The sequence below is a fragment of the Homo sapiens genome, chromosome 3 (genome assembly GCF_000001405.40).
Source record: "Homo sapiens chromosome 3, GRCh38.p14 Primary Assembly".
Taxonomy (NCBI): domain Eukaryota; kingdom Metazoa; phylum Chordata; class Mammalia; order Primates; family Hominidae; genus Homo; species Homo sapiens.
The window spans coordinates 160,018,704-160,042,987 of record NC_000003.12 but is presented as its reverse complement, the minus strand read 5'-3'; the positions used below and the strand labels follow the sequence as shown (position 1 = coordinate 160,042,987).

The window sequence follows — 24,284 nt, the reverse complement described above, 5'->3', positions numbered from 1 at the left end:
CAGTTCACTGATTCAAATGCCAATCTCTTCCGGAAATACCTTCACAGACATACCCAGAAATAATGTGCCACCAGTTATCTGGGTATCCCTTAACCCAGTCAGGTTTACATCTACAATGACCCACCACACCAGTCAAATACAAATCAGCAAGACTCAGCTGGAGTGAAGTAGTGCAGATGGGCTGGGCACTGCTTGGTGGGTCCACTGCTTACCTTTCCCACCTCACATTTTACATTTCTACAGGGGGCAGATGCCTGAGCATAGCTCTGTGATCAACAGGCTTTGTGGGTTTTTATTATTTCCACACTAAGATTCTTGAGATTGGAATGTTATCCCCTTTCCTTTTGAAATCAGCTCACTTGTCCTAGAGAACTGATGTTTATGGTTTCTTCTGAATAAACATAGAAATTGATCCTCCCACTCTTAAAACTTTAGAAAGTTACATTTGTCTTATCTGAGTTCCTTTCTCGGGTTTCCAACTGTCAGCCCTCCCAGATAGTAATGAGGCAGGAGAACAGGGTCTGGAAACAGGGGATGTAAGGCCGATTCAGGCTGACTTCCTAGAACTGAATCAAAAGGAAAACCCCACCTCTCCATGTCCAAGTAACAAAAAGATCAGAGGCTACTCCCTTTACACTCCGCCCCTCCCCACTCCCATTCCACTGCATTGCAGATGAAAAATTGAAAGTACCTCTGATTGGTTGCCTCCCTCTACCAATTAGACTGGTTGTGGGCCAAGTCTTCATTTACATAGGGTGTAACCAAGTAACCAGTGGGAAACCTCTAGAGGGTATTTAACCCCAGAAAATTCTGTAACTGGTCCTCTTGAGACACTTGCTCAAATCTGCTCCCACTCTGTGGAGTGTACTTTCATTTCAATAAATCTGTGTTTTTGTTGCTTCATTCTTTTGTCGCTTTGTATGTGTGATCCGTTCAATTCTTCGTTCAAAATGCCAAGAACCTGGATGACTCACAGTCAAGACCCTCCAGTGCGGTAACAGTATCAAGGAACTGACACTTACCAGATCATCACATCTGGACAATAAGAAGCCAGACCCCTCACCTGTCATGATTGCCTAACTGATCACCTGCTTCTTCTTGACCAACTCCTCTTCCTTACCCCTCCCTAATTCCTATTTTCCTATATGTAGTTACATTTCTTCCCTGTTATATAAACCCCTGATTTCAGTTGGCCAGATCACAGCTGCAGCATGTGATTAAGCCTTCTTCCCTGGCAATAATCATTGTCTCAGTGATTGGCTTCCTGTGCGGTGAGCAATTGTACCTAGATCAAACTCCTGGCATTTTGGTAGCACTTTTTTTTTTAGGTAAGGAAGTTGAGAAATGTTACAGGACTTCCTCAAGTTCCTACAACCAGAAAAGGGCAGTGCTGGGTTGGAACTCCACTTAGCAGCTAAAGTTCATGTAAGTAAGCAACATGCTAGCTTGTCTTCCAACAAAACTATGTGAAAATGAACCCTAGCTCTTCACTTAAAGCCCAGCAGCCCTGTGTGAGCTATGTAATCTAAAAGAACCTCAGTTAGCTCATGTGGGAAGGGGGTGTAATATTTTTCTTGCACTGTTATTGGGATGTGTAAATAACATAATTTGTCAATGCTCTCCAGCCAGAAACCACTAGGAACACACCTATAGTTAAGAAAGTTGGGTTTAATTCTCATTGCAAAGAGGGAAAATGCAAACAATGGGAAACCCTGGGGGTGTCTCAGTGAGATGATGTTAGAAAATGTTATTAAAGGATTTGGGCTTTGGTTTGCTGCTTTGGGAGAAGTTGAAGAAAGCATAGTTTTTCTCTGGGTTGGATAGGGTCAGGAAACTGGGGTAATTCTATGAATGTGTATCCTCATAAATCTTACCCATAGGGAAAGCAGACTACACCAAGTCTGAAGCTGTAATTGGGCTGAGTGTAGTGGCCCATACCTGTAATCTCAGTGCTTTGGCAGGCTGAGGCGGGAGAATTGCTTGAGCCCAGGAGTTTGAGACCAGCCTGGGCAATGTAGCGAGACTCTGTCTCCACAAAAAATTTTTTAAAAATTAGCTAGGTGTTGTAGCATGTGCTGTGATCCCAGCTACTCAGAAGGCTGGGGTAGGAGGATTGCTTGAGCCCAGGAAGCTGAGGTTGCAGTAAGTCATTGTGCCACTGCACTCCAGCCTGGGTGACCGAACGAGACTCTGTCAGAAAATAAAAGCTGTAACTGGCAATGAAGCAGCAGCCAGTTCTATTAGCCAAGACAACTGCTATATTTGTGTGTTTTCTTTTGTGGCTTGAACAATGTTTATGCTTTGTCTGTTTTCAGATATGATGTTGAAGTGGTCTTATTCTGGTCTAGATCCATCCTGGTCACAGAGGAGTCTTGTCTAATGGTGTTGTGGGAAATCGTTTATGTTCATGTTCAACAGGAGGACATGGCCCAGGGTAGTGCCAGGCCAGATCTATTTCAGAATATAAGGTATCCATCCCAGTGCTGGACTCACCGGTGTTGGAACCACAGGGGTTATGACTCTAATGGTGCTTACCCAAATGCCATCCCAGACCTCTGAGCCACAGTGACACAGGCAGGTGCATTCTGGAGAGGCTAAAAGACAGATGTCCCATCAGGGAGTAATGACTCATTTTCCTCCTGAGCTTCAAACATTACACGAAGCCATTTCCATGAAGTCAGTGGTATTTCAGCCCAGGGAGAATTTTGGACACAGCAACGAGGGGCCTGCAAGTTAGATGACCTATCCTGTGATCTGCCTTTGCCTCCTTCATGCAGCAAATATGCAGTGTGTCTCAGAGCTGGGCTAGATACTGTGACACCCACCACCTCATGAAAAAGGCAGAGAAGCAAACAATCTAGCTGAAAAAATGTAAAAGCATGTAGTGTTCAGTGAGGGCAGTGGTGCCCACACTTTCCTATGCAATGGAATCACCTGTGAATCTTTCAAAACACTAATGGTTGGGGTCCCATCCCACTGAGTTAAGTGATCTGGGCTTCCACTCGGGCTTCCAGCTTTTAAAAACTCCCTAGGTGATCAATGTGCAGCCAAGTTTGGGTACTATTGGTTTAATCCATCATTTTTACAAGCTTGGCGGGGGTTGGGGGGGTGGGGGTGGAGGTGGGGAGTGGGCAGTGGAGGGTGTCACAGATGTTGAATTGGATAAAAGCTTTTGTCTCTCATTCCAGGCACTTGCATTTAGATGTAAAACCTGGCATAGTATTTCAGGGGATTTACAGATCCCAAGAAGTGAATCAGGGAACGCCTGTGGGCCTTGTGGTCCCCAAGTGAGAAAAGTCCAGCTGCAGGAGTGTCCACCTCCAATTGGGGTGACAGGAGCTCTCTGTCCTGTCCAGAATGGTGCTGGCCCTTTGTCTCAGTCTTTTTGTCTGTAATAACAAAATACCCAAGACTGGGTAATTTGTAAAAAACAAAACAACAAGAACAACAAAACCAGGAATTTATTTCTCACAGCCTCTGAAGTCTGGGAAGTCCAAGCTCAAGGTGAAGCCTCCTCAGGTGGCAAAGAGCAGAAGCACAAAAGAGACCAAACTCCCTCCCTCAAGCTCTTTTACAAGAACACTGAGACATTCACAAGTGCTGAGTCCTCAAACCTACTAACCTCCTGAAGGCTACACCTCAAATACGGATTGAATTTTCGCATGAGTTTTGAGGGACACCCATTCAAAGCATAGCACCCTTCGGCTTCAGAGAAGCTCCAGCCCTGTTGTCACCAAGCAGGTTCCCCCTAGGCAGAGCGCCAAGAAGCAGCCCAGGCGATCCCAAGGCGCACAAGTGCTCTCACCAGGCTGCGCGCTGGCGGGTCGGTGCACAGGGACGGGGTCGCCGCCCACGCGCGCTTGGTTCAGGGAGCCCAGGCTGTCCCTACCCGCGGCTACAAAAGCTCGCCGAGTCTTCCTGTCCACCCAATCGCCCCACATGTCAGCGGTTGGTCGCCTCGCGGTGCAGTGCTGGGCACGCGAGCCCCTCCCGCAGTCATTCTCAGCACAAGCACCAGCCTGGAGCCCCGCAGCGACAGAGCTGAGAGCCCCCAAGCCGCAGAGGTCGTGCGGAGCAGGTAAGCGCAGCCTCCTGGCTGGGGAGCCACGGAGGAGAAAGGGCGGCCGGGTCCCACGGCCCCGCCAACAGGACAGGCTATGCCCTTTCAGTACCCCCTCTTCCCTGGCTCTGTTTCTAATCTAGGAATAAACAAGAAAGTCCTTAGTCTTTGAAAAGAAAATGATTCCAAAATACAAAAAAAAAAAAAAAAAAAAAAAAGTTAAAAAGTTAAACATCACGTTTGTTTGGCTTAAAATAATTATACATGGCTTGTAATGAGGGAAATCCAAAATTCACAAGCCTCTTGATGTAAAATAATTTAAATATCTTTGGTTTGGGATTATGTGGTTACTACAAAACATACCACAGCTGATGGGAAAGTGGTTTACTTCCCATTAGGTTGCAAATGTCTTAGAAACACACTCCTGGACCACAGCTTCAAGAGACGCAAGCAGTCACCTCATCTGCTGGTTTCCAAGCTGCCCTGCCAGAAGCAGGTCAGGGGTCCCACAGGGGTCCTCAGTAACTCCTCAAAATCCTCTCCCATCAATGGCCCCACCAGATCATCCCTACTTTTGAATGCTTGTCCAATGCAGGTTCCAGGTAAGATTTCCTTTCACAAGTGACTTCCATGGCTAAGGAAAAATTCAGCACTCTAGAACTAGTCCAAGCCCCTCTCTGCGGCAGTATTTATAAGCAGCGGAACCATCTTGTAGATTTCTAAGCTTGCTGGAAAATAAAACACTGCTATAAATGCATAGAGCCTTCTCCCTTGTGAAAAGGAAACTCCTGCCAGAGATGAAAGCAACAGCAAGGATAGCACTGTGCAGAGTAAGGGTGGCTAACGCCAGGCTTCCTCCTGGGGATTTACATCAGGATTGTAACATATTAGATGTAAATCCACCTGTGGGCTCCAGGGTGGATCTGGAGGTCCAGGCACCAGGGAGCTGGGGTCAAAACCAACTGTTGTTAAAAGTCAAGGGAATTATAACTAAGGAATAGGACGCTTTAAAATACGACTTGTGGCTGGGCGCGGTGGTTCACACCTGTAATCCCAACATTTTGGGAGGCCAAGGCAGGCAGATCACCTGAGGTCAGGAGCTCGAGACCAGCCTGGCCAACATGGCGAAACCCCATCTCTACTAAAAATACAAAAATTAGCCAGGCGTGGTGGCAGGCGCCTGTAATCCTAGCTACTAGGAAGGTTGAGGCAGGAGAATCTCTTGAACCCGGCAGGCAGAGGTTGCAGTGAGCCGAGATCACACCACTGTACTTCAGACAGAGCAAGACTGTCTCAAAAAAAAAAAAAAAAAGGCTTGTAAGTAAATAATGATACAAAGAAGATACATGAGCAGTGTCAAAAGGCAGGTTTATTTTTCTTCCCTTTATCCATAACTTAGGGATTCTTCAAATAGCTTAAGCAAAATATATCCAAGTTGTTAATCACCACATGCATGATGCTAGGTGGTTAATTTAATTGGTGAAATGGTTTTGTTGCTCCGTAGAGTAGCAGTATCTATATGGACCAACAAAATCATTTCACCAAGTAACAAAAGCCAGTGTGGCCCATTATTCTCTGTGGCAAGTCTCCTTTAAGAAGTGACATGCACTTGTGCTCCTAGCTGCTTGGGAGGCTTGAGGACTCCTTGAGCCCAGGAGTTCCAGGGTACAGTGAGCATAACTTGCCACTGTGCTGCAACCTGGAGGACAAAACCCTGTCTCTACTAAAAGAAAAAAGAAGAATAAGGAGAAGAAGAAGAAGATAAGGAAGTTTTTCCTTCGTTCTTTGAAATCTCTTTCTGAGTAGCATTCCTCCCCCACCACAAAAGTAAATGATTCCATGGTGAAAGACAAGAAAATAACTTCTCCAGTAGGATGAGGTGGTCTCATACCAACCAAAGCAACCAAAGCTTGCATACCAACATTGTCAGGTGGGTGAGAATTGCATTCATTCCTAACCTCTTGAGGCTTCAGCATCCCAAGACTAGATAGTGGAAAATCTCAGTAGCTCTCCAGGCAAAGCTGGCCGGGTGGCGGCTGGGGGGCATTGGGGGCGGGGTTGGGATTCAGAACGCTCACCCACCATGTCTGAAAAGCATCCAGAGAGATCATAATGCTTTGACTTCTGATATAACCTTTTGGGGTGTTTATGTACTTTTGATGCTTCAAGGAATAAAAAGTCTAAATAGAATTCTAAATGCAAAACCTCTCTCTGTACTACTGAGGATTCTCAGATGGAAGAATACATTTGTTAACCATGGTAACAACATATATAATCAAAGTTTTGCATTATTTTGAGCTTGGTTATAACAATGTGCTACATCCATCCACACACACACAGAAAGAGAAGTTGTTGAAAACCAAGACAAGGAACCCTGTGGTTTTCTGGATCAACACCAGGAACGATCCCCTCCAGCCCTCCCTGGGCTCTGCTTTCTCCCTTCCCCTCTTTGCTGGTTGAGCATCTGTGGCGCCAACCAGTGGTCCCCGTGATCCATGCTTCAGGGCCCCGGAAGGCCCAGAAGGCTTATGTTACCAGTCCGGTCTCGGTCTCAAGTACCAGAGTGACATGACCTCTCCCTTACTGAGCCTGACCACCTGCCTGGATCTTGACGTGCATGGCCTCCTTTCTTTCACTACAGCTCAGATCATGGGGGGTTTGTACCCATTTCACAGATGGGAACAGAGAGCCTTCAAATTAGGTTGAGACTTTGCTTACACTCCCAAAGCTAGCCAGCACTGGGGCTAGGCTTCCAACCCTTCCTCTGACTCAGCTGCACACACCATCCTTACTAAGAGGACAGCAGCCCCTTGCTTGCTTTTGCATTTGCATTAACTCTCTGAACCCAAGCTTATAAATAACCAAGCAACACATTCTGTACTATGCATTTGTTATTCCCAAAGATACAGCTTGATTCAAAATAAAATGACTAAGTTTATTTCCTGCTCACCTTCCAGCACATCTTGGACTTCAAGAAAGATGACATCATTCAAGCACTTACATAAATTCTATGTTGTGGCAAGGCTCTGATCCTTTTCTTGTCACTTCTTCAGCATCCTAAATTTGCACATGATAACATCTGTTGTCCTCCATCAGATATAATCAGTATTGCTAATCTACAGTGCCACATTGGCAGTAGTGATTTTTTTTTTTTTTTGAGACGGAGTCTTGCTCTGTCGCCCAGCCTGGAGTGCAGTGGCAAGATCTTGGCTCACTGCAAGCTCTGCCTCCTGGGTTCACGCCATTCTCCTGCCTCAGCCTCCCAAGTAGCTGGGACTACAGGCACCCGCCACCACGCCCAGCTAATTTTTTGTATTTTTAGTAGAGACAGGGTTTCACCGTGTTAGCAAGGATGGTCTTGATCTCCTGACCTCATGATCTGCCCGCCTCGGCCTCCCAAAGTGCTGGGATTACAGGCGTGAGCCACTACGCCCAGCCTGGAAGTAGTGATTTTTATCCACTTTTTCTCCAGGTTCCCAGAAAGAATATTCAACTTAGTATCTATTTGGCTGGGAGGGCAGGATGTTAGTCTTTGCTTCATCTAAAAGTAAATGAGGAATTCAGTAGCTCCTCTGACCACTTCAATCACTTATAGACAAGTATAATGAAAATATATTCTTCATACTTAAAAAAGATCACCTGAGGTCAGGAGTTTGAGACCAACCTGATCAACATGGCGAAACTCCATCTCTACTGAAAATAGGAAAATTAGCTAGGCCTGATGGTGCATGCCTGTAATCCCTGCTACTTGGGAGGCTGAGGCAGGAGAATCACTTGAACCTGGGAGGCGGAGTTTGCAGTGAGCCAAGATCGCGCCACTGCACTCCAGCCTGGCTAACAGAGCGAGACTCTATCTCAAAAAATAAATAAGTAGGCTGGGGGTGATGGCTCATGCCTGTAATCCCAGCACTTTGGGAGGCTGAGATGGGCAGATCACCTGAGGTCAGGAGATCAAGATCAGCCTGGCCACATGATGAAACCCCATCTCTACTAAAATATATAAAAACTAGCTGGGTGTGGTGGCAGGTGCCTGTAATCCTAGCTACTCAGGAGGCTGAGGCACAAGAATCGCTTAAACCTGGGAGGTGAAGGTTGCAGTGAGCCGATTATGTCAGTGCACTCTAGCCTAGATGACAAGAGTGAGACTCTGTCTCAAAAAAAAAAATAATAATAATAAATTAAAAAAGTACACCATGATTGGTTACATTAACCACATTTATTTATTTAATATTTTTTTAGACAGAGTCTCGCTCTGTCACCCAGGCTGGAGTGCAGTGGCATGATCATGGCTCACTGTAACTTCCACCTCCCAGGTTCAAGTGATTCTCTTGCCTCAGCCTCTCAAGTAGCTGGGATTACAGGCGTGCACCACCACACCCAGCTAATTTTTGCATTTTTAGTAGAGATGGCGTTTGACCATGTTGGGCAGGCTGGTCTTGAACTCCTGACGTCAGGTGATCCACTTGCCTTGGCCTCCCAAAGTGCTGGGATTACTGGCATGAGCCACAGCGCCCGGCCTAACCACTTTAAAAATATATTTAAGTGCCCCCAGTATCACTGCTTTCTAAACTATTTCAAAAACTGAAGGGTACTATTTCTATAATAATAAATTGTTAGAGTATAATATTCACAGTGGTAATTCAGGTAATGAGAGTATTTTACAAGGCAGAACTAATTAGGTTGGAATAAAACAAAATCAGACACCAACAATAATTCATATGTCTCAAATAGTGCCCTTGCCTACCTGTCTTTATCTAAATATTAGCTCTACACATTGACACCACGTTAGTAGCCACTAAAAAGAAGAGCAAGCACTCTGAATTTTAGTCTCTGTTATGCCATTTCCTGGCATTTGGAGGAAAAGCACATTCTACAGAAAAATCACGGGATGGCACTATCTGTTTTGTATCTGATTTTAACATGTGTTATCTCTTAGGTACAGGGTCATACACTTGGAAGGTGTGATATTGTGAAATATGTATTTGGTCTTCCTCATCTTTTCCTGACATACGGTTCCTTCAATCCTTGGAATCTTCTGTGCTAATGAGGTGACTGGAGGCTGAGGGCCTCTAGATAGCCTCAGGGTGGGAACTTTTTGTGGGAAAAATCAAGTTCTGATTACAGGGTTAAGATATTCAGCCCCAGGCCCCAACCTCCAAGGAGGGAAGGGGGGCTGAAAATTGAGTTGATCGTTAATGGCTAATGATATAATCAATCATGCCTACAAATGGAAGCTTCCATAAAAATTCAAAAGGAGGCCAGGCGTGGTGGCTCACGCCTGTAATCCCAGCACTTTGGGAGGCCTGAGTGGGCGGATCACGAGATCAAGAGATGGAGACCATCCTGGCCAACATGGTAAAACCCTGTCTCTACTAAAAATATAAAAATTAGCTGAGCATGGTGGTGTGGTAAAACCCCGTCTCTACTAAAAATATAAAAATTAGCTAGGCCTGTAGTCCCAGCTACTTGGGAGGCTGAGGCAGGAGAATCACTTGAACCCGGGAGGTGGAGGTTGCAGTGAGTCGAGATCGCGCCACTGCACTCCAGCCTGGTGACAGAGCAAGACTCTGTAAAAAAAAAAAAAAAAAAGTTCAAAAGGACTGGGTTTGGAGACCTCCTGGGTTGGTGAACACATCCACATGCTGGGAGGGTGGTGTACCCCAACTTCATGAGGACAGAAGCTCCTAGGATCAGAACCCTTGCTGACTTCACCCCATGGATCTCTTCATCTGTATCCTTTATCATATTCTTTTTTTTAGGCTAGTTAGGTGAGCCCTTATTATATTCTTTGTTAATAAATTGGTAAATGTGTTTCCCTGAGTTCTTGTGAACTGCTCTAACAAATTAATTGAACCTGGGGAGGGGCATGTGGCAACCTTAATTTGTAGCTGGTGGGTCAGAAGTTCTAGAGGCTCAGATCTGCAACTGGTATCTGAAGTTGGGGACAGTTTTGTGAGACTAACCCCTGAACCTATGAGATCTAACACTGTCTTTAGGTAGGGAGTGTCAAAATTGAGTTGAATTAGAGGACACCCAGCTAGTGTCCACTGGAGAACCTGCTGGAAAACGGATTGTTTGGTGTCTGGGGAAAACCTTGCCCACATTTGGTCACAGAAGTATTCTGTGTTGATTGAGAGCAGAAAAAAAATAAAAAAAAAAGCTTTGGTTTGGGTTTTTCCTATCTCCTATATTGCACAAAAGGCCATATATGTCTGCCAGTAAAAGCCATTGACCCCATATAAATACTAGCCCTATCATTGAGCTAGTTTTTTCCTTAGCTGGTCGTGCTACAGGGTAGCACAGCTCCCTGGTTGCAGTTTTATTTAAGGATCCTTGAAGCATTTCAAATACTTGAGGGGACACTAGAGGGGGGCAAGAGATGAGATAAACTCTTCCTGCCCTTTCATCTGCACCAGCTATTTATTAAAGTGCATTTAACATGTGTGCTTGGATTCTTCCCCACTTGACAGGTTTCCTCTCTGACCACTTTTTGGACTGAAGAATGGGCTCCAAGGGATGGCTCCTGCCATCTAGTGGCTTCCTGATGTATGGCAGATTGTTCCTGGCTTTCAAATTTCCACACCTTGAAAGATGCCCAGGGAGCCTATGAAAAGCCCAAGACCTGGCTGGGCGCGGCGGCTCAGGCCTGTAATCCCAGCACTTTGGAAGACCGAGACGGGTGGATCACCTGAAGTCAGGAGTTCAAGACGAGCCTGGCCAACATGGCAAAACCCCGTCTCTACTAAAAAATACAAAAAAAAAAAAAAAAAATTGGGCGTGGTGGCAGGTGCCTGTAATCCCAGCTACTCGGGAGTCTGAGGCAGGAGAATCGCTTGAAGCTGGGAGGCAGAGGTTGCAGTGAGCTGAGATTGCACCATCGCATTCCAGCCTGGCGACAGAGCAAGACTCCATCTCAAAAAAAAAAAAAAAAAAAAAAAAAAAAAGAGAGAGAGAAAAGAAAAGCCCAAGACCTCGGGGCCATCCCCAAACCTACTGTTATCAGATTTTGAATCTATCTTTTTTTCTCTTAAGAGACAGGCTCTCACTCTGTTGCCCAGGCTGGAGTGCAGTGGCATGGTCATGGCTCACTGCAGCCTTGAGCTCCTGGGCTGAAGTTCCCGAGTGGCTGGGACCACAAGTGTGTGCCACTATGCCCGGCTAATCAATACTTATTTATTTTTGTATAGACAGAGGTCTCCCTGTGTTGCCCAGGCTGGTCTTGAACCCCTGGGCTCAAGCGATCCTCCTGCCTCAGCTTTCCAAAATGCTGGGATTGCAAGCATGAGCCACTGCACATGGCTGAGTTTGGGATTTTAACTTGCTTTCCAACACATCCTCTCAGCCAAATGTTTCCCAAACTTAAGTCATTTGCCTTCCATTGTCATGATTTTTCCCATACTCATATGCCAGGTGAAATGTGATTTCCTCAATATTTCTTTAAATTCATAACTAATATAAATGGAACATTGGTATCATTTGCCATATGAAAAGGAAGTCAAAAAGAAACATTTAAAAATTTATTTCCAGGAATTCCACCTAAAACAATCTTCTATATCATTCTATATTTTGGAAAACAGTACTTTGGGAGTTCCTTCTGGACACTTTGCTGTGATTCAACACCACATTCCCGGTTTGAAATTTAGTTCCTTTTCTAACAGGTGTCTATGTTTCATGCAGAACTTCCATAGTTCCTTTTGCTGAAGATGCCTTAATAGTGATGCATGGTCTCAATTAGCCATTGGTGTAGGCCTGAAAAAAGAGTGGAGACCAGAAACATCTTACAGTGCTGATAATTATTAAAGAAGATTCTAAGGCCGGGCGCAGTGTCTTACGCCTGTAATCCCAGCACTTTGGGAGGCTGAGGTGGGTGGATCATGAGGTCAAGAGATCGAGACCATCCTGGCCAACATGGTGAAGCCCCGTCTCTACTAAAAATACAACAATTAGCTGGGTATGGTGGCGGGTGCCTGTAGTCCCAGCTACTCAGGAGAATGAGGCAGGAGAATCACTTGAACCCCAAAGGGGGAGGTTGCAGCGAGCTAAAATCACGCCACTGCACTCCAGCCTGGCGACAGAGCGAGACTCCATCTCAAAAATAAGTAAATAAATAAAAATAACACAATGTCCCAACTAGGACTCTTTATGGATCAGAAATTTTAGCTTGACTAAACAGGCCTGTTGTGGTTTTTTGGTTTTTGTTTGTTTGTTTTGTTTTTGAGACGGAGTTTCACTCTTGTTGCCCAGGCTGGAGTGCAGTGGCACCATCTTGGCTCACTGCAACCTCCACCCGCCAGGTTCAAGCTATTTCCCTGCCTTAGCCTCCCAAATAGCTGGGATTACAGGCATGTGCCACCATGCCCGGCTAATTTTGTATTTTTATTAGAGACGGGGTTTCTCCATGTTGGTCAGACTGGTCTCGAACTCCCGACCTCAGGTGATCTGCCTGCCTCAGCCTCCCAAAGTGCTGGGATTACAGGCGTGAGCCACCACATGCGGCCCAACAGGCCTGTTTTAAAGTTGCTAATTGAAGGGTAAAATATAGAGAGCAAAAATCAGTCACATCCATAGGAAAGGCTGAATTCCAAAACAACTGAAAATCAAAAACCATTTCCTTTTGAAAGATAAACACATGATGGGAAATAATGATCCGTAATGATCGTAATTCTGTGTCTTGGAAAACAGACATCAATGGATGACTGGTGCAGAGCACTTCTTCTGCATCATTACCAGTACTTACCAGATCATCTGTCCACATATAACCTGATGGATACCATAGAAACAAGTTAAGAAATGATTCAAAAGTTATTCAGATAAGTAGATGTATGGAATACCTAACAGATCCCTAATATCATTACATTTATGCAGCAAAATAAAAATTCTGGAGGACAGAGGCCGGGCATGGTGGCTCATGCCTGTAATCCCAGAACTTTAGGAGGCTGAGGCAGGTGGATCACTTGAGGCCAGGAGTTCAAGCCCAGCCTGGCCAACATGGTGAAACCGCATCTCTACTACAAATACAAAAATTAGCTGGGCTTGGGGACGCGGGCCAGTAATCCCAGCTACTTGAGAAGCTGAGGCATAAGAATCGCTTGAACCCGGGAGGCAGAGGTTGCAGTGAACTAAGATTGCGCCACTGTACTCCAGCCTGGGTGACAGAGTTAGACTCTGTCTCAAAAGAAAAAAAGAAAAGGGCTGGGTGCGGTCACTGATTACAGGTGTAATCCTAGCACTTTGGGAGGCCGAGGTGGGCAGATTGCCTGAACTCAGGATTTCAAGACCAGCCTGGGCAACATGGTGAAACTCTGTCTCTACTAAAATACAAAAAATTAGCCGGGAGTGGTTTTGCATGCCTGTAGTCCCAGCTACTCAGGAGGTTGAGGCAGGAGAATTGCTTGAACCCGGGAGACGGAGGTTACAGTGAGTCAAGATAGCACCACTGCACTGGGTGACAGAGCGAGACTCCATCTCCAAAAAACAAACAAGCAAACAAACAAATTCTGGAGGACAGAAGAAAGAGAAGAGTGGGTTAAAACTCCTTTGATGTCCAGCTACTTAGCCCCTTGTGATGCTTTTCAGAATGATATGATAACCAATACTGGGTTGTGTGTGTTACTTATTGGGAAAGATGTGAAATATAATCCAAAATGTAAAGGATGAAGAAATCAAATCAATCAAGCTTCTGCACTGCTAAAACAGACCAAAGCAAACCAATTCCACTCCTGGCTGAGCACACCGACTATTTGAAGTGTTCCCACACTAGCTGTGCACCCCACTGACCTCCAGGGATTTGTGCTGTGGGTGCCTGTGGAACCAGTGCCAGCACCTCTGCTCCAGAAGCTGGGGCTTTTGTTTTGCTTAGTCAAATCTTTAAATGCTATAGTGATGGGACAATTATGTTTTTTACTCCTCCGTCCCCAGCTCCACCCACCCCACCCCAAAACCAGTTTATTTATTTAAAAATTTTTTTAGACATGAGGGTCTCCCTATGTTGCCCAGGCTGGTCTTGAACCCCTGGGCTCAAGTGATCCTCCTGCCTCAGCCTCCCAAAGCTCTGAGATTACAGGTGTAAGTGACCATGCCCAGCCAAAATCAGAGTTTTTATTCAAGATACAACTTACATTATCTCAGTTTTCTGTCCGTATAATTTCCTCAGAATCCATTTCAACCAAAAGTAATTTAAATTCCCACTGGTTTCTCTGGATACACTTCAATATAACTATTTTATGTATTATTTTTTGAGACAGGGTCTTACTCTGTTGCTCAGGCTGGAGTGCAGTGGTGCAATCATAGCTCACTGCAGCCTTAAACTCCTGGGCCCAAGAGATCCTGCCTCAGCCTTCCAAGTAGCTGGCTACAGGTACACACCACCACACCAGGCTAATGTTTATTTTTTGTAGAGATGGAGGTCTTGCTAGGGGGCCCAGGCTGTTCTTGAATCTTGGTCTGAAGCCATCCTGCTGCCTCTGTCTCCCAAAGTGCTAAAGTGCTAGGATTACAGGTGTGAGCCACTGTACCTGGCAAACTTTATAATTTTAAAAGTGAATCCTTAATATCAGTTTCCTTTAAGAAAACTTTTTAAATTAAAAAGTTGTATTAGTTGATAATATACAATATCAAGATACAAAATGATGACAGTTAGAAGGGTTAGATTGCTTGAGTGGCAACTGAAACTTTGACCTTGGGAATCCGCATCTGGAATCACACACCTTCTTTTCTTTTGCTACCAGCCCCGCCTTCCAGACCCTGTTTTACTACTTCATTGAGGCTTCTAGACCCTCACCTCCATTTTTCCGAAGTCTTATTTTTCTGCCCTCTCATAGTTTCACAGTGTTTCATGTTTCAAACTGGGACATGAGTTTACCGTTGACAACCGTTTCCTAAGAGCTTTCTAACCTCCTCACCATCTTTGCTTAAATCATTCTCCAATCTGGAAATGACTCAGCATTTACAGAACTAAGCTAGTGGTTTAACTGCCTCTCCTCACTGAATAACATATTTCCCTAACAAACCCTCTTATCACTATGAGTTTGTTGTTGTTGTTGTTAGAGATGGGGTTTTGCCATGTTGCGCAGGCTGGTCTCAAACTTCTGGGCTCAAATGATCTGCTCACCTTGGCCTCCCAAAGCACTGAGATTACAGGTATGGGCCACTGCACCTGGCCTTATCACTATGTGATGGACAAAGAACCTCTGAGAAGCTACTCCACTTGCTCCAGTCTTCATCTAGGAAAGGGTGAAACTGAAATCTGAGCCCAACCTTCTGGCTCTAAAGTGTGTGCTCTGACTCACACTACACAGATCGGGCTTTCCCTGCTGGCTTTATTCTCATGGCTTTACCAACTTGCATTATCCTCCTAGTTTACTTACCTGGTCTTCATCGTACTTTACACACCTGACCTTTACATCTGGCCTTCAGATTTAGCTTTCCACTTCTGGTTGTACCCACTGTTCCTTACCCAACTAGTGGCCTTAACCTTCTGGTTTTACCAATCTGGCCATAGCTTCCTGACCTTGTCCCCCGGTCTTACCCCCTAGTCTTACCTACCTGTTCTTACTTACCTGGCCTTAACCTCCTTGCCTTACCAGCCTGTTTCTATTAACCTTCTGGTGTTACTCACCTGGTCTTAACCTCATGGTCTTACCCATTGTGCTTACCCACCTGGTATTATCCACCTGGTTTTGATCTCCTGGCCTTAGCAATTAGGCCTTACTCACCTGGCACTAGCTTTTGGCCATACCACTTTGCCTTACTTACCTAGAGTTTCTACTTGGCCTTATCAGCCCCCTAGTCCTACTCACCCAGTCTTATTCTCCTGGCCTTGCCCACTTTGCTTTAACCACCCTGCCTTAACTGGGTGCTCTGTCCTTCTAGCCTCACACACCAGGCCTCAGTCACCTGGTCTTACTACCTGCTCTTAACCTTGTGGCCTTTCCCTCCAGCCTTTCCCCCTGCCCTTATCCAGCAGGCCACATCCACCTTTGGTCAGTGACTGGCTTACAGGTCCCCAGCACTGTTATCTTTGCACCAGAGCCCACTCTCACCTAATCTCCGTGTGCTGGTGCTACGTCAAGTGTGGTGGTGGTTAGGAGTCACCTTCCGTGTGAGGTCAAGCGTTCTGGCTCCCGTTGTCCTTGAAGTTGCATCTCAGGCTTCTGGGCATGGCAGAGCCTGCGTTCCTGTGACTCGGCTGAGGCCGGTGTGATGGAGACTTCCCGGCAGCCTCCCGGACCTGGTCTCTCCAAGGTCAGATCTTGAAACTTCTGGGCACCCATGCGAGTGCCTGTCCTGGTGTGCCGACTTGCTCTTGGTCTGCGAAGCCTGTGGACACATGGTCAACATGAAACCACCTTAACCCGCTTCCCGTCAGGTCTCGTGGGAGGGATGGGGCAGTGCCTGGAGCACAGAGAGGCTCAGGAAAGGGCAGTTCAACTGGTTTCGCTGTGGTGGATCCCTCATGGGGGTCTTTCTAGCCCAAACTGGGTGTGATCCTGGGATAGTCAAGAGCTCATGGGAAGCTCTTGTTTTTCTCGTATTTTATAGGCATGTGGAGTTTTCAGGAAGTCCAAAAAAGTGCCCAGTGGTCTTGGCAGGCTTTGAGTCTTGGCCACCTGACTTGTTGCCAGTTCCCTTCACCCCTGGTGACCCCTAACGTTTATCTGGGGTCTCATCATGGGGTCAGAATTTGTTACTTCCGTTTCTTTTATGAAAGAGTGCATTTGGGTGTATTTGAATTGTTTATTTTATACTCTATGAAGTCAATAAACCCATTCCTATCACCCATCCCACTGCCTGAGCTAAGGGGCCTTCCACAGTTGACCTGGAGAGTTCAAGTGCACTGCACTCGAGTGCGCTTCTGGGTTGAAGCTGCCACCTGGTACTCCCAGAGCCTGTGCCTCTGAGGCTTCCTCTTAGGTTGTGGATCCGTGGAAGAGCCCTGCCCCTGGGAACTGACATTTCCCTTAGAATAGGGACAGAATGGAAGGTCTTGCATTTCTGGAGAAGCCAGATAAGGCTGACAATTCCTGTAAGATTCCTTCTTAGGATGCTTGACTATGTGTTCATATTCTGTATTATAAACATATGCTACTTTTCATTTAACATTCTATTTTTTTGAAAATGTTCCTCTGTTATGAAAACTTTCTTGATTTTTAATGGATTCTCCAAGTCATAACCATTTTCTAGGAGAGTGTGGCATTTTGGTAACTGGAAGTAACCACAGTTTCAGCATTGCTCCAAAGACTTAGGCGTTCTTCTGGTTGTTGGTGGAGTTTGCATGTCAGTCATGTATCTGCTTCTGATATTTTATAGAAACATTTGACAAGGATGATTTTGCTAACATTTGCCTTGCAGTTCTTCTAGATATTGTACTTATTATTATTATTATTTTCTGCAGGTTGGTCTAATTGAAGGCAATGGAGAAGTAAGTCTTTATGGATCAAAATCTTAGCTCTAGAAAAGGTGAGGGGGCCTGTTTTGGAAATACGTCTATTCATAAATATATTGTTTGATGTAATTATGAATTTGATGATATTGAAGCCTCTCAGTACTCTCAATTACCCTTATGGGTAATCTTAGGGCTTATAACATTTAGGAGACACCTGCAGATGCACAACAATAGCTTTGTTTATTGTGATTTCTAAGTTATTTATATGATTTGCAAAAGTTCAGAAAATGTAGAGTAATGTAAGAAGAAAGAAGAAAATAAAGATCACATGTATTCCTTCTGCCCAAAGATAATGAACACCTCACAATGCTGTAGACTCTTCTAGGAGGCTCCTGTGTGGCCAGCCACAGTAATGCTGTTTATTTATTATTTTATTATTATTATTATTATTATTTGAGATGGAGTTTTGCTCTTCTTGACCAGGCTGGAGTCCAATGTTGCGATCTCCGCTTTCTGCAACCTCTGCCTCCCAGATTCAAGCAATTCTCCTGCCTCAGCCTCCCGAGTAGCTGGGATTACAGGCATGCACCACAACGCCCGGCTAACTTTTTTGTTGTTGTTGTTTTGTTTTTTTTGAGACAGAGTCTTGCTCTGTCCCCCAGGCTGGAGTGCAGTGGCGGGATCTTGGCTCACTGCAGGCTCTGCTTCCCGGATTCATGCCATTCTCCTGCCTCAGCCTCCCGAGTAGCTGGGACTACAGGCGCCCACCACCACACCCGCTAATTTTTTGTATTTTAGTAAATACGGGGTTTCACCATGTTAGCCAGGATGGTCTCAATCTCCTGACCTCGTGATCCGCTGCCTCGGCCTCCCAATGTGCTGGGATTACAGGTGTGAGCCGCCGCGCCCCGCCAACTTTTTATATTTTTAGTAGAGACAGGGTTTCACCATGTTGGTCAGGCTGGTCTTGAACTCCTGACCTCAGGTGATTTACCTGCCTTGGCCTCCCAAAGTTCTGGGATTACAGGCATGAGCCACCGTGCCCGGCCAGTAATGCTGTTTAAAATGAAAGAAGGCTCTACAATGGGGCCATGACGCACACCGCATATGAAGTGGGCATCTTCCGTGTCAGTAAGTTTTATGTATGTATTCTAATAGTTCTTGAGGAATCTGTATTTTTCTGTTCCTAGAGGAATCTAGGGAGGAAGTAAGGTGGAGAGGTTAAAGTCACAGCTCTTCAATGATCTTATAACTCACAGAGTTTCTGTTTAAGTCCTCAAAGTGACACTGTGATGAGCATCTGTAAATGTGTGTGTTTGTGCTCTCCTGGCCACTTCCTCAGATGACCTTCTAGGCAGAATTGCCAGATCAAAAGGGTACACACCTTGGAAGCATTGATGTGGGATGCCTGTCTCTTTTTTTTTTTTGAGACAGAGTTTTACTCTTGTTGCCCAGGCTGGAGTGCAATGGCTTGATCTTGGCTCACCGCAACCTCCGCTTCTGGGGCTCAAGCGATTCTCCTGCCTCAGCCTCCTGAGTAGCTGGGATTACAGGCATGCACCACCATGCCCAGCTAATTTTGTATTTTTAGTAGAGATGGGGTTTCTCCATTTTGGTCAGGCTGGTCTCGAACTCCCAACCTCAGGTGATCCACCCACCTCGGCCTCGCAAAGTGCTGAGATGACAGGTGTGAGCCACTGGCCAGTCTCATTTTTAAGACTGCATTGGTGTGGAGCTGTGAGTTTGTTCAAGACAGTTGAAGTGCAGTTTATTATAATATTGCTAAAGGCAAACTTGTGGAAAAGTCCACTTTGTCCTGAGAAGAACTGACTTGCAGGAGGTCAAGTGAGGTCCTTGACAGTGCTCTGAGCCATCCTGTCCACTTCCTATGAGTCAGGCAGACTATGAGCCCAAAGGTCTTGAAGTATTACGGTGTTAGGTTTTGTTTAAACATTAGTTATTTCTGATTTTTCTAATTGTTTGCATACACAATCTCTTTTTACTCTTAACAGTGAGACTCTAGTAAGTGGTCTCTTGATGCTTACTATAACTTTGGGGATGTTTGAAAGTGGTGACCGAGTCACCCACCTGGTCTTCTGCCATGTCACTTGGCCCTGCTGGTCCATTTGTTTTTGGCCAGTGCCCGTTTGGGAGCCAAACCTTGTCACCTACCTCCAGCCCACCTTGCCCCTGGGGAGTCAGGTGCAGATGCTTCTCCGGGCCCTTCCCACTGTCCTGTTCTGATCTTTTACCTGGTGCAGGGCAGAGGGGCTTAGAGGACTTGACCTCATTATCTGAGCAAGCTCGTGTTCTCCCTGAAGCCTCCTGGTGCCTGGCAGGGTTCAGGTGCTGCAGGCCAGTCAAGCCGACACATAATATTAACCATCACAGGGCCACTTGTGCCTCTCTTTTTCTTCCTCCTGCTGCCGCAGATAATCCATTTTCAGATTTCCCCTGTATGTATCAGGGTTCTCTAGAGAAACATATGCATTTGTATGTAAGATATAGAAAAGATTCATTTCAAGGAATTGGCCTGTGTGATTGTGGGGACTGGCAAGTCTGAAATGTGCAGGACAGGCAGGAAATGTGCAAGAATTGATGCTAAAGTCGCGGCAGAATTCCTTCCCTCTAAAACCTCAATTTTTGCTCTTAAAGCCTTCAACTGGTTAGCTGAGCCCCACCCCCATTATTGAGATATATGCGAAGTGTTTGTGCTTATGTAGACACACACAAGTATATGCATATTAGTCATATGTGTATATGAGAATATATAGACAGTGCCTACCACATAGTGGGCACTCACAAAAATCTGCTATTAGCCATGTGCGGTGGTGCCCACCTGCAGTTCCAGCTACTTCTGAGGCTAAGTCAGGAGGATCTCTTGAGCCCAGGAGTTCTTTGAGTTCAGCCTGGGCAACATAGTGAGATCTTGTCTCAAAAAAGAAAAAAAATATGCCGCTATTAGCTGCTATTATTATTGTTCTTTTCATTAGTTCAAATCTTTTTCCTTCCTCCATGTAACAACTGCCGATCCTTGGTTCTGGTTGTCTATAGTTATATGGAGGGAGGGAAAGATTTGAGAATAGTGTTCATATCTTTCCCTATATTTCCTCATTTAATCCTGAGCCTGAGTGGAGGGTGAGGCTGTGTCAGGGAAATAAGGAGACGTGGGAGTGAGGCCATGTGCTTGTGCTGGGCAGGACTGTGCATGGGGCGCACCTGTGAGGTCGAGTAGGAGAGACGTCGGGTGCTTCTGGGGGTGGAGATTAGATTTGCAGATTGGGGAGTAGGTTAGATGCCCTCCCTGGGCTCTCAACGTGGAAAGGAGGCTGGGAGTGGGCAGTGGGGCCTGGGGCGTTAGCAGCTGGAGGTGGGATGACAGAGAAGAACGAGAAGGCCAATGGAGAAATGGCATTCCCACTCCAGCTTTCTGCAAGGTTGTATCATTGAAGTCGTGCATGTCAGCCTTCTAGATGTGTGGGTAGAGGGGTAAGACTGGAGGAGCAGGGCCGAGTCAAGGCTGGGTAGGACTTGGGTGACACCAAATGAAATTAGTATTAAAGCCAGACTTGTGATTTGAGCTCAAATTCAAACAATTAAATTCTCTTTTATCCATTTTCAAAGACGAACAGGCTCCTTTGATGTGAAACAGACTGGTTGTGGACTCAGGGAGAATTTAGAAAAGAAATTAATTGAGTTTGGATCTGTTTTACAAAATGTATGATTTTTAAAATAAATCATTTCTACTCTTTATTCAGTGTGTGCATTTCCTGACCTTTGTTTTCATTTAAGACAGGACAACAGTTCTGAGAGCAGTTCTGGATGTAAGTCTGTTAAGTAAGATATTAATCTCCTTAATTACGGAAATTACATAGAAACCTTTATTTTTATTTTAAAGTAATACACACATCATTTATTAATTGTTGTTTCCAGATATATTAATTACAAGCATGGTTTTAGACAGCATTGGAAAAGTATTTATATGGTAAATAAAATAACTTCTAGTTGTCAAGGAAAGTGAAAAACAGGATAAGTTCAAGCAAGACAAGACTCATGTCTGTGTTTCAGAACCTTCAGATCAGCCTAGAACCTTCTGAGACAAGGATTCTGAAAACTTTTAGTCTTTATTTGCCATTTTATCTTCAATGCTGTTTTTAAAAGCTGGTTCTCTTGCAATCCCTGGTCCCCCAACACTGCCCTGATAGGCCAATTGTCTAGGCAGCAGTTGTGGCAACAGCTGGAACTGCCTGCACTTTCTGGGCACTAGTGCTGGCATAAGGACCTTGCCAATCATGCTGAGCAGGAGTGCCTAGCTTCCCTTCACGCGACCCTCCCAAAGGTGGCTCAGATCTGGAAGGTCCAAAGCCCATCTCGTGGCACATTAGGTATGAACCCCAAGTGTTTATACCTACTTTTGAAGTAGGTTGTTGTCTACTTTTGAAGCAGGTTGTTGTCTACTTTTGAAGCCTTGCATTTTTACATGGTCCACACCCATATCCATAGCAAAATAATAGTTAATATCAGATAGCTAACACTTACCGAGTGCTTGCTGCCTGCCAGGCACAATCCCCACCTGTGATTTAATTTCCATAACTTTGTGGAGGTGATAATATTGTAACTCCCATTTAACAGATAAGGAAAGTGAGGCACAGAGAGACTCAATTACACACATAAAGGCACATGCTCAGGCAACACGTGGCCAGTGCAGATAACAGGAAAATTCACTGCTCTTCCCTCTCATAATACATTTTAATATTATGGAAATGTGGTCCTTGAAAAAGTGGTCATTGAGCACTTACCAGGTGCTACGGATACAATTCCTCTGCAGCTTGCATTCTAGTGGGGAGAGACAGGAAACAAATGCTAAAATGTGCAGGGTGCCAGGAGTGGCCCATTCCCTGAAAGAAAAGGAAAGGGGAGAGTGGTTGTGTCAGGAGATTCTCTCTGATAGGGCAGCATCTGAGCAGAGACCAGAGGATATGAGGGGAGTGAGCAACAGGGCTATTTGTGGGGGAAGACAGTAAGTGCAAAGGCCCTGAGGCAGGAGCGTGCCTTTGAAAAGAAATGGCAAGGAATGGCTGGAGGACAGCAAGTGCAGGGAGGCTGGGAGGAGACGGAGGAAAGGGCAATGAGATCCTAGAGGGCCCTGGCCACACTGAAAGAAGCTCCTGTGAAACGGAGTCTCTCAGAATAGGTCCCTTTTAAAGTCACCTGAAACCAGGTGTCAGTGCCTGCCTGCCTGCCTTCCCTCCTTCTTTCCTTTCTTTCTTTCTTTCTTTCCTTCTTCTTTCTTTCTCTCTCTCTCTCCTTCCTTCCTTCCATCCTTCCTTCCTTTCTCTCTTTCTTCTCTTTCTCACTTTCTTCTCTTTCTTTCTTTCTTCTTTGTTTCTTTGTTTGTTTCTTTCTTTCTCTCTCTCTCGCTTGCTTGCTTGCTTTCCTTCCTTCCTTCCTTCCTTCCTTCCTTCCTTCCTTCCTTCCTTCTTTCCTTCTTTCTTTCTTTCTTTCTTTCTTTCTTTCTTTCTTTCTTTCTTTCTTTCTTTCTTTCTTTCTTTCTTTCTTTCTTTCTTTCTTTCTTTCTTTCTTTCTTTCTTTCTTTCTTTCTTTCTTTCTTTCTTTCTTTTCTTTCTTTCGAAGTCTTGCCCTGTTGCCCAGACTGGAGGGCAGTGGCACGATCTTGGTTTACTGCAACCTCTGCCTCCTGGGTTCAGGTGATTCTCCTGCCTCAGTCTCTTGAGTAGCTGGGACTACAAGTGCCCGGCACCACACCCGGCTAATTTTTGCATTTTTAGTACAGACAGGGTTTCACCACATTGGCCAGGCTGGTCTTGAACTCCTGACCTCGTGATCCACCTGCCTCAGCCTCCCAAAGTGTTGGGATTACAAGTGTGAGCCACCACGCCTGGCCCTAGTGCCTTTCTTACTTCCAAACACATGTTTCTGAACTGCATAAGGAGCCTGGAAGGCTGATGGCAGCCAAGGCTAAGTGCCATTGTGAGCACTGTGAGACTCTAGCAGAGTTCTGGGGTCCTGGTCGCCCCAGGTGACTCTCGAATGGGAGCAGCTGCCCTCCAGTTGCAATGCTGGTCTCTGAGATGAGTGACTGTAATGAAGAGATTGATGATAACCCCATGTCCTCAGACCTTCATTGTTTCTGCGGAAGGGAACTGGGAAAGTCTTCCACCAAGGAATCTTTTGTGAGGCAGTGAGCTTGCCTTCCTGTTTTCTGTAATTCCTCCCATTCTCCCATGTGCTTGCGGCGAGAGGAGGACGTGAGGATTGTGTTAAAGGGTGATGAGAGAGCAGGAGTGGTTGCAGTTCTGGAAAAAGATCTAATAAAACACTTACCTGCCTGAAGGCAGTGTGCTGAAATGAAGAGGCACATTCAACAGCATTGTCATACATTGGACCTGTGAGGGGTGTCATTGAATTGACCACTTAGGATGTTTAAATGTTTATTTAAAGTTGCCCTTGGCTATAAAGCCTGAAGTGGGTGTTGGAGTAGTCAACGACTAACCCAGGATGGATTTGTGCCAATACACAAGTGACAACATCTTTCACAGCTGAAGAGTCGGAGGATAAAGCCATGCCCACAGATCGTTGTCACACAGGTATAACCTTACATTTTCCAAAATAGTCTTTTAAGTGCCAGCATTGTTGAGTGGCATGCACTTTTTGAATTATGTAATCTGGGCATATTGTATACCTTTATTTTAAAAATTTTGTTTAAAAATGCCAATCACGTTTATTTTACTTTATACATATAAGTAACATTTTTTCTATCATATATAATTTAATAAAATCCAATCTCACTGTGAACACTGTACTGCTGAAAATTCATTT

The 24,284-nt window shown here is 45.3% G+C and overlaps 1 protein-coding gene and 2 long non-coding RNA genes across 3 annotated transcripts in view, besides 1 other annotated feature; 2 read left to right on the top strand and 1 right to left on the bottom strand.

The window, feature by feature from the left end:
• Positions 1–24,284, top strand: part of IL12A-AS1 (IL12A antisense RNA 1) — a 293,693-nt gene that overhangs the window by 164,105 nt on the left and 105,304 nt on the right. Inside the window, exon 4 of the long non-coding RNA NR_108088.1 lies at positions 17,454–17,518. This is a non-coding gene — a long non-coding RNA (IL12A antisense RNA 1). The remainder of the gene's footprint in view (positions 1–17,453; positions 17,519–24,284) is intronic.
• Positions 3,213–3,815: an enhancer, noted in NCBI's record as "H3K27ac-H3K4me1 hESC enhancer chr3:159756960-159757562 (GRCh37/hg19 assembly coordinates)". NCBI's record gives its function as "activates a minimal SCP1, AML or CMV promoter by ChIP-STARR-seq in naive H9 embryonic stem cells {active_cell/tissue: H9 hESC(naive)}" and the evidence as "EXISTENCE:reporter gene assay evidence [ECO:0000049][PMID:30033119]".
• Positions 3,929–11,126, top strand: LOC124906252 (uncharacterized). The gene is made up of 3 exons (XM_047449425.1): positions 3,929–4,078; positions 4,459–4,662; positions 10,531–11,126. Exons 1-3 carry the CDS (start codon positions 3,940–3,942, stop codon positions 10,557–10,559), a joined length of 372 nt encoding a protein of 123 aa, XP_047305381.1. The 5' UTR covers positions 3,929–3,939; the 3' UTR covers positions 10,560–11,126.
• LINC01100 (long intergenic non-protein coding RNA 1100) lies at positions 11,565–22,339 on the bottom strand. Its single transcript, NR_104132.1, has 3 exons — positions 22,244–22,339; positions 16,102–16,378; positions 11,565–11,809 (listed from the first exon to the last, which is right to left on the bottom strand). It is a non-coding gene; the product is annotated as a long intergenic non-protein coding RNA 1100 (long non-coding RNA).